Consider the following 9,110-nt stretch of genomic DNA (forward strand, 5'->3'; position numbering starts at 1 on the left):
TTGCCGTCGGCTCCCCTCTGTGTGTATGTCCTTGTTAGGTGTGCTCACCCTGCCCAAACACACCAGCTGTGAAGCGCTTTGTTAATTTACTCTTAAACTACCATTTTAACAAGCTTCTTAAGTGATAGAGGCATTTGTGCATAAATAGCAAGTGGTAAGCTTCCCCCTGGAACATTAACCTGATTTATTAAAAACACTGTGACTACCAAGCTTTATACATCAACATCTTTAACACAAAAAAATATATGATCTCATCTCCTCCCACAGCCCCAGCCCTAATGTAGACAGAGAGCTCTGATGGGAGGTGAGAACCTGGAAGATGTCACTGTGAAAGGCGAAAGAAGCCAGTTTTTTAATATTTCAAATGCAGCCGAGCCAGCCAACCAAAACGTGTTTTCTCCGACATTAGCCTGGGGACAAGTGGAAAAAAACAGACACAATTTCTTTCCATGACCAAACCTTCCCACCTAGCTGGGCCAAGGATGAGGTCACCCTAACACCTCTCTCTGTGACTCTGATGGGCTGGGGGGATGGGCTGAGAGTGGGGGAACACCCCAACGAACTTAAATTTCAATGCCCAAACCGCACCCCACCACCTGCCAGAAACTCAGCATTTCCTAAGCACCCTCCATGCACACACTCCTCATGAATGTTGTTTTGGGTCATCTCACTGCACCACCTGTACAATTATTTCACTAATGTTATTTTTAAATGGATCACTTTAAAAATTTTAGCCTCAAACCAAACAATATTGTCTGTGAAATTGTAGATTTCATGCATTAGTTATATATGGTGTTTCTTTAAAACTTTAAAGATGAAATAGTGAAATAGATAATGCACTCTGGTGTACCATGTACTATTGGTGTGACACATAACACACCAGGGAAATGCTGAATTAATTCCATATTCCAAAGTTCAGAGCAAACAATGTTTCCTGGGACTTAGACGGTGTCTAATACTTTGAAGATTCAAAGTTAAGCTTAGTTTTCCAGTCCAGAGGCTTCTGTGCAAGAGACTACATCCATCAGCCAGCAGCAGACGCACACTGCATCTGACCGAATACCTGCTTCCCTTCTCCTGAGAAGTACAGGAGCACCGTGTGGGGTGGATAATGAAGGAGATGATGTCCTGGTGTGTGTGTGTGTGTGTGTGTGTGTGTGTGTGTGTGTGTGTGGTTTAGTTATAGGTGAATAATTAGATTACGTGATTTCAGGAACTCTTTGGGAAATAGAAGAAGGGTGGCACAGTGAGAAGAATGAAGCTGGGGTCAGTAAATGCAGGGTCTTGACTTCAGTCTGTGTCTAACCATTGCCATCTCTTGCCTGGACTATTGTAGTCTCCTAACTGGTCTTCCAGCTTCACCCTCGGCCACCACCCTGTGTTCTCCATTCAGAGCCAGGGTGGGCCTTTCAGCCCAAGTCAGCTCATCACATTCCATCACTCAGAGTCCTCTAGGGACCCACCCTCTCATGCAAAATAAAAGCCAAAGTCTTCCCCATGGCCTGCAAGGCCCTCCATGGCCTGACCCCTCATCCTCTCTTCAACCTCCACCCCTGCCACTCCCCACCTCACTCCCCTGCTGCAGCCACATGGGCCTCTGTGCTGCTCCCCCAGCCCCTTGAGAACCCTCCTGCCTCAGGGTCTTTGCACTTGCGGGTCCCTCTGCCAAGGCTGCTCTTCCCCAGATATCTGCCTGGCTCATCCTCTCACTCCAGGCTCTGCAGATGTCACCTCCTCCAAGAGGCCCTCTCTGGTGCCACCTTCTAAAGAGCACCCTGTTGCTGCGTAATGACTCAGTTTACCCTATGCTTTTTCTCAATATGCATATATATGTCTAATATCTATGCGTCATTGAGTAAATGAGGGGAAAATGTTCTCAGAGGATGCAGAAGAACCTGAGCATGATACTGGCCTGTGTTAGCGGTGGGTGGGGAATGAAGCGCTTTGTGTTATTTAAATCTTTAAAGAACAACTGTATTACTCATGTAATGAAGAATATTGGGGGACGAGTCAGAGAGGGGAAAGAAAACAGCCTAGAAACAAGTAAATCTGGGTAAGAACCAAGATGAGCAAGGACTTCCTCCCTCCTCCATGCCTCACCCCCGAGGAGCAGCACATTCCATATGGCAGAGCCTGAGATGCTCACGTGGAGGCTCTGGGCAAGGACTCGCCTCTCTCTGCAGCAACCACAAGTGACTCTGAATATAAAACAAGGTCACAGGTGACTCACAGATCCAAAGAAGTGTTTTGCTGGGTCTCTATGGTGCTTTAAAAATTAGATGTCACCCAAACATCTGGATTTCTGCTTTCTCTTAGACAAATGAGTAGCCACAGCCACTGAGAAGTAGCAATGCTCTTCAAATGGGGCCTGGGCTCCCCGCTTCGCCATAGCCCCCACCTCTCCCCACTGCCTTCTCAGCCCCGAGACTGAGTCAAAGTCACCTTTGTTATTACACTCAGCTTGCTGCATTCCTTCTTGTAAAGTTCAGAGGGAGTCGGAGTATTTATTGTACTCATGTCTTTATAAAAAAATGGGAAACTAAGAGGACCACGTGGTTCTAGATTTTTTAGAATTCTGGAAGACCAGGAGTTTTCTGCTTGGGCTGCCTGAGTGACTCTGAGCCAAGCCTCTCCAGGCCTGTGAGTCTGCCACTGTTAGGTCAACCAGCCAGGATGCTAATGGGGATGAAGTCAGCACAAGCTAGTTTTCTACTGGTGGCCCAGAAACCCAGGAGACACTCTCAGCTTTGGCCCAGAATTCATCTGCCACATTTTTCCTTGATGTGCTCCAACTTTGCGGGGGGTTCCTTGGGCCTAGGATTCCTACACCGTGTTTTCTCCTCTCTCTTGGATTAAGGAGCAGGATCTCAGGGGCAACCTGGCATGGGGCAGGCAGAGAAAGAAGAAAGCACAGCTCGAGGCCTGCTTCTTTCCAAGCATTTCCTTTCTTACCCGTGTTCTTTAGTTTCCTCTTAAGGGTTGAACTGTTTGCTTACTCTGTCTGTCTCTTTCTTGCTTGTTTGCTATTGCTCCATCTTCATCTCTATCTCGGTCTCTCATATAGAGAGAGAAACAGGCTCGCAACTGAACCACCAGCCCCACCCTCATCTTTGTACTTGCAGCGTGCCAGAGCACTGGATTAAGAGTCTGAAAAATAAGGCAGGACACACACACCCCAGCCCCCAACCACTAGCCATTTCCACAGTCTTCAATAAGCCACGTACTTCTCATCTACAAATGTATATGTCATAGGTTACTTTAGGTCTAACATTTAACTATACATTTCTAGGATAATTCCAGAATATTCTAAGTCACCAAACCTAGGTCAGTGGAGAGGTCAGGGCATGGGCGCTCAAATTAGAAGTCCCGGGCTTGAATCCTGACTTGCTACTCTCTTTGGGACCTGTGCAAAGGACTCAACCACCCTGTGCCTCAGTTGCCTCATCTGTAATATGGGGAGAATAACAACATCACCCCTTCTGAGGTTGTTCTAAATATTGTGAAAGAGGCAGAATTTTACCTCCACCCGGTTTTTAGCTGGGCCTGAGAATGAAATTGACATAAGACTGATCAACAGAAGAAACACACACACATTTACTCTATTTAATTCAAGTTTTACATGGTACAGAAGACCCAAAGATACAATTAGTTAAATACTTATATTTCGTATTGGACAAAGAGCAGTAATTGGTAGAAGAGCAACTAAATTATGTGGGAGGCTAAAAAAAAATTATTATAACAAGGTCTGTAGGGAATTCTCTAATCTCAACTTGCAGCCCTTGTTGATAAGAATGTGACTTTCCAGCTGGGCGTGGTGGCTCACGCCTGTAATCCCAGCACTTTGGGAGGCTGAGGTGGGTGGATCACAAGGTCAGGAGATGGAGACCATCCTGGCTAACAGGGTGAAACCCCATCTCTACTAAAAATACAAAAAATTAGTGGGGTGTGGTGGCGGGCGCCTGTAGTCCCAGCTACTCGGGAGGCTGAGGCAGGGGAATGGCGCGAACCCGGGAGGCAGAGCTTGCAGTGAGCCGAGATCGCACCACTGCACTCCAGCCTGGGTGACAGAGTGAGACTCCGTCTCAAAAAAAAAAAAAAAAAAAAAAAAGAATGTTACTTTCCTTCTAGGGATATAGGGAGGGCATCGCTCACATAGGAATTTCACCTCCTACTTTTACAAAACAGAATGAAGGTCAGGATGATCTTCTTGTGCCTGCTGTGTTGGAAGCACCTGTAATTCAAAATAGCCAACATGCCAGAGCAGCATATTTCAAGGCAGCATATTCTTAACTGCTTCGATACCAATTCAGAAAATACACATAAAGCCTATGCATAGTGCAACGCTGTGCATAGCAAGCACTTAATATATGTTAGCCTTCTAGAAGTTTACATCTTGTAGTTCACACATATAGTGCAACAATATAACAGTCTGCCATCGGGATCCTTTCTACAGATGAGTTTGTTTTGGGTCCTTCCCCCAAGATGTTAACAAATTTTTTTCTTTAATTAGCTACCAACTTCTTTTTTATTTTATTTATATATTTTTGAGACAGAGTCTCACTCAGATGCCCAGGCTGGATTGCAGTGGCGTAATCTCAGCTCACTGCAATCTCTGCCTCCCCTGTTCAGGCGATTCTCGTACCTCAGCCTCCTGAGTAGCTGGAATTAAAGGCACGTGCCACCACACCAGGCTAATTTTTGTATTTTTAGTAGAGATGGGGTTTCGCCATGTTGGCCAGGCTGGTCTCGAACTCCTGCCTTCAGGTGATCCACAAGCTTCAGCCTGCAAAAATGTTGGCATGAGCCACCATGCCTGGCCCCAACTTCCTTTCTAATTGGGAGATTTTACTTTTGGCTATGCTCAAAGAGTTGGAAGACCTGCTCATACTGTTTCCCTTTCCACATGGGGAGTGTGTAGTGAGGGCTGCTTTCTAGACTGAGCACATCCTCACCTGTCCACCATAATCCCCTCCACACCCAATTCTCTAATTGACATTAACCCCACTCCCAGCCCCTGTAGATGCTGAGTTTGCAACCTCTGGCTCCAGCTCAAGAGATGAGATAAATAAACCTGCAAATAGAACTTTCGAGTGTGGCACAGAGAGAAGTTCCAAAACAAGCCTGCAGGTGTTCATAGGAGAAGAGGGGCTGCAGGTCTGGCGTGGTGAGAGGTGGTCTCAGGTAGAGGCTGGGGATAGACTATGAAGTGGAAAGGCAGGGGTGAGGGGCAGTGAGCACCTGTGGGGAAGCAGGAAAGCACCTGTGTCCTGCACCATCCTCCTGCCCTGTTGTCCTCCTGCCAAGCTAGAATTCACTCAGCAGCGCTTGCCCAGCCTCAGGTGTCCCTAGAACATCCACAGTCCATGGGATCGGCTTCTGAGCTGTCCACGGTGCCCATGGCCACACCTGCTTACCAGCCGCAGCAGACTGGGCCCCATCAGGCCTGACCACCCACCCCAGAATAGCACTGTCCCCAGCAGGGGTTTTGAGAAAGGGCTGGGGGACAAACAACAGCAATCAGAAACCACATCTGGGCAGAGCAAATCCATTGTTTTCCACACAGTAACGTGCTCACTGATGTGGTGGCAACTCTTGGTGTTCCTGTAACTCAATCCAGAATGAGGACACTGGATTCCCAGGACCCACTTATCAGATGAGGCTTCCTCCCAACAGTGCCAAGGCAAACCATTCCTGACTCTCAGTTATTACCAAATCAAGTCAAATGTCATTGCTAGTTTTAGCTCCAAAAAGCCAAGGCTCAAAATTGGTTCCTAAACTCAAAATCAATTAAGCAGATGTCGAAGAGGGGGAATTGAATTTCATTAATGAACATTGGACTGAAAAATCGTACTGTGAATTTTTTCTCCTCCACCTTCTGCTGGCTGTAGTTGTAGAAGCTTCTGGGAGAAAATTCTGATATGGTCATTGTCACTGGAAGGGAGATGGCAGCAGGCCCCAGGGAAAGGGCAGGACACAAAGGACACAGGTATAATCAATGGGACTCTGAAGCCATTGCTCATCTCCTCTCTGAGAAGCTCCACCCAGAAACTGTCCTTTCCTGACGATTTTACTTGTGATCCAATAACGCTTTGTCCTTGGCAGCAGGTTTTCTGTTCAACAAGGCATGGCCTATAAGGTGTGTTTCCAAGTTTGGGGAGTTGGCCAGATAGAGCCAGTAAACCAGCCACTGGCCTAGGGGGCAACGTCTGCAAAGCAGCTTAATATCCACCCTTCCCCACCTCTCCCAATCTGTTCTTCCTCCACCTGCCTTCCCATCTCTGTAAATGGCACCACCATCTGCCCAACAGCTCAGCCAACATCCAGGAGTCATCCCCGATTCCTCTTCCCTCACCTGCCCACCTGAGATCCATCAGCAAGCCCTGCCGATCTTCCAAGCAGCACCGCAATCCACTCACCTCTCTCCCTCTGCAGCGCCCCGTCTGCTCCGCGCCATCAGCCTCTCCCACCTGGCCCACTGCAAACACCACCTGATCTCCCTGCTTCCACTCTTGTCCCTGGGCCACCCTCTTCACCCAGGGGGTGGGCCTTTAAGAACATGAAGGGCATATCCTTCACTTACTTAGAATGCATCAATGGCCTTTCATCGTTCTTAGAATTAAATCCAAGCCCTCTTGCAAGGCCTCCTGGTCCTCCATGATCAGCCTTTGTTGCTCCTCTGTTCTCATCTCCCATCCCTTGCTACACACGCTCAGAGGCTCAGAGGCGTGTGTGCCTGGGGAGCAGTGATTGATCAGGCCCTGATCACGAAGTCAGTGTGTGGCCTTCAATATAATAGATGGAGATGTTCTCATTCAACAAAATTCTGAATGGCAAATAATTTTTTTTTTGCTTTTAATCTAGTTTGGTGGGGGCACACTTGAAATGCAACAGTCTGGGATATTCTCTAAAAAGCACCTGATTTCTACCTGGTGTGGACCCTCAGGGCAATGAGCAGTGGCGACTCCACCCCTGATGTTCCGGGGTTTGAGGATTGACTGTATCCTTAAGCCTCAGACACAAGAGCCACTGACTGCCACATAGCACTCCTTAAATGTCATAAGCATGGCCCCAACATTAAATGCCTGGGACTCACTCTTGGCAATGTTTTTCCCTTTTCCAGCCTCCATCCTTAACAGTCAGGGAGAAAGTCTCAGGGGCTCATTGCCTTGAACGCCTCTCTCCTACTCACGCTCGGAAATAGGCACTTACAAACCACCGTGAAGGCAGCAATGTGCTGAAGTTTAATAACTGCACTGTGCTTGGTTTTACAATGGCCTCTTACTTACGTCAGTGGATATTGCTTTCCTATTCACAGTCCAAAATTACTCAACCATAGAAATACAAACCTCAGGTAATTCTACAGATGGCATTGCGTTATTGAAAAATGGTGCAACTGTATGTGCATAGCTGATATTGGGAACCCCTGAGCTACAGCGGTTGCTCCTCAAGGCAAGAACCATGAATTGCCATCTGGGTGCCCCAGAGCCTGGCCAAATCCTGACCTCCAAAGAGGCTCACCAAAGGTTTGTTTGGGTTGAATTAAGCCAGTCACACCTGTTCACAGTGTATTTCTAAAAAATCCATTCCTGCCATAGACTTTCTAGCCAAAGGACACCGTTCAGACAAGGTCCCGTTTTCACTGCGTTTCTCTCCCCGTAGAGAAAGGGAGAATCTATACAAGGTACCACTCTCCACCTGTACCCCACAATTTGGAAACAGAATGGGCTTCTCACCTTGCTGTGTCCAGCCCGAGTCCTCCCAACCAGATGCAAGTTAGGGTTGTGAAAGTTGTCAGAATCAAAATGGAGTCACTGGTGTTTAAAAAACAAACCAACAAAAAACCTGGACAAATAGAGCTGGGGAAGGCCGTGAAGAGAGGGTTCTCAGGCTTGTATGCCTGATAACAAAACCATCACAAAAGACTGTGAAAACCACAACCTTGCAAAAAGGTCACCGCAGCCTTACACAAAAAATACTTCTGCAAGGACATCTGCCTAGAAACTGCCTGTCCAACCTTGGACTGAGGTCACCCTTGTTATTGGTCTTTGCAGTCAAGGATAATTATTTCAAAACAATTCTTTAATCTTTCTCATTTTTCCCTCTAAAAACCTCTGTCTGCCTTTACCTCCCTGAATTCGCACATCGTTTACAATGGCATCCATATTCTCATTGCAAGGCTTGATTCCTGAATATGTATCTTTTCCTTTTAGAGAACTTCTCTCTGTAATTTAGGTTGACAGGGTGGACACCTATACACCCTCTCTAGGACAGGGAGGAACCCTGGGATTATCTTGGTGGAGAAATCTCCAGCACAGAGAACTGTCAGAACAGTTGCATGGATGAGCAGAAAAGAGCAGATGCTAAGTTTTTCCCTGACCCCCACTGCTGCATGTCGGCTGTAATTGGATGCAAGAAAATGTGTTAACTTTTTTGTGGACAAGCATCATTGACCTGGGTTGAACCAGACATACAGAAGGCCCATCCCCCTTCTCATCCACCATCTCTTGGAAGGAGCTTGGTCACCTTCAAAGGCCAGTTTCTTAGTTGGAGAGGAAGGTCTAGTTCTTTGCAGAAAGAACACACACTGTGTGTGTGTGTGTGTGTGTGTGTGTGTGTGTGTGTGTGTGTGTGTGTGTGTGTGTGTCTGTCTGTCTGTCTGTCGGTCTGTCTTGCTTTCTGTAAAGAACTAAGGCTCCTTGGTGCTGATCTAGTAGGGAGAGTCACCAGGGGTGGAAGCTGACAGAGGCCACAGATGCCAGGGACTCTCAGACCACTGCATCCACTCCCTGGCATTCATCTCCAGAAACACTCACTCAGGGTGCAAGGTGCATGTAGAAAGACATCTAGCAACATTATTTATAACAGTGAAAAATGAACTTTCAAATGGGAACAATTCAATGTCTTCTCCCAGAGACTGGCTAAATAGCACAGTCATTAAGGACCTGGGCTCTGAGTTCAAATCTTGTTTCTTCCGCTTACAATATATGCATACCATATACACACATAAATTCACCTACACATCTACCTATCGTACGTCATAAACACACATTCGTAGAGTCTCCACTTTCTATGGCCTTCCTAGCTCTGCCCTCCCCTGTGTCTTCATCTCA

At 47.0% G+C, this 9,110-nt stretch overlaps 1 annotated feature.

Moving 5' to 3' along the window:
• Nucleotides 5,374–5,873: an enhancer, noted in NCBI's record as "H3K4me1 hESC enhancer chr20:46870479-46870978 (GRCh37/hg19 assembly coordinates)". NCBI's record gives its function as "activates a minimal SCP1, AML or CMV promoter by ChIP-STARR-seq in primed H9 embryonic stem cells {active_cell/tissue: H9 hESC(primed)}" and the evidence as "EXISTENCE:reporter gene assay evidence [ECO:0000049][PMID:30033119]".

This window comes from Homo sapiens, chromosome 20, assembly GCF_000001405.40.
Source record: "Homo sapiens chromosome 20, GRCh38.p14 Primary Assembly".
NCBI classification, from domain to species: Eukaryota; Metazoa; Chordata; class Mammalia; order Primates; family Hominidae; genus Homo; species Homo sapiens.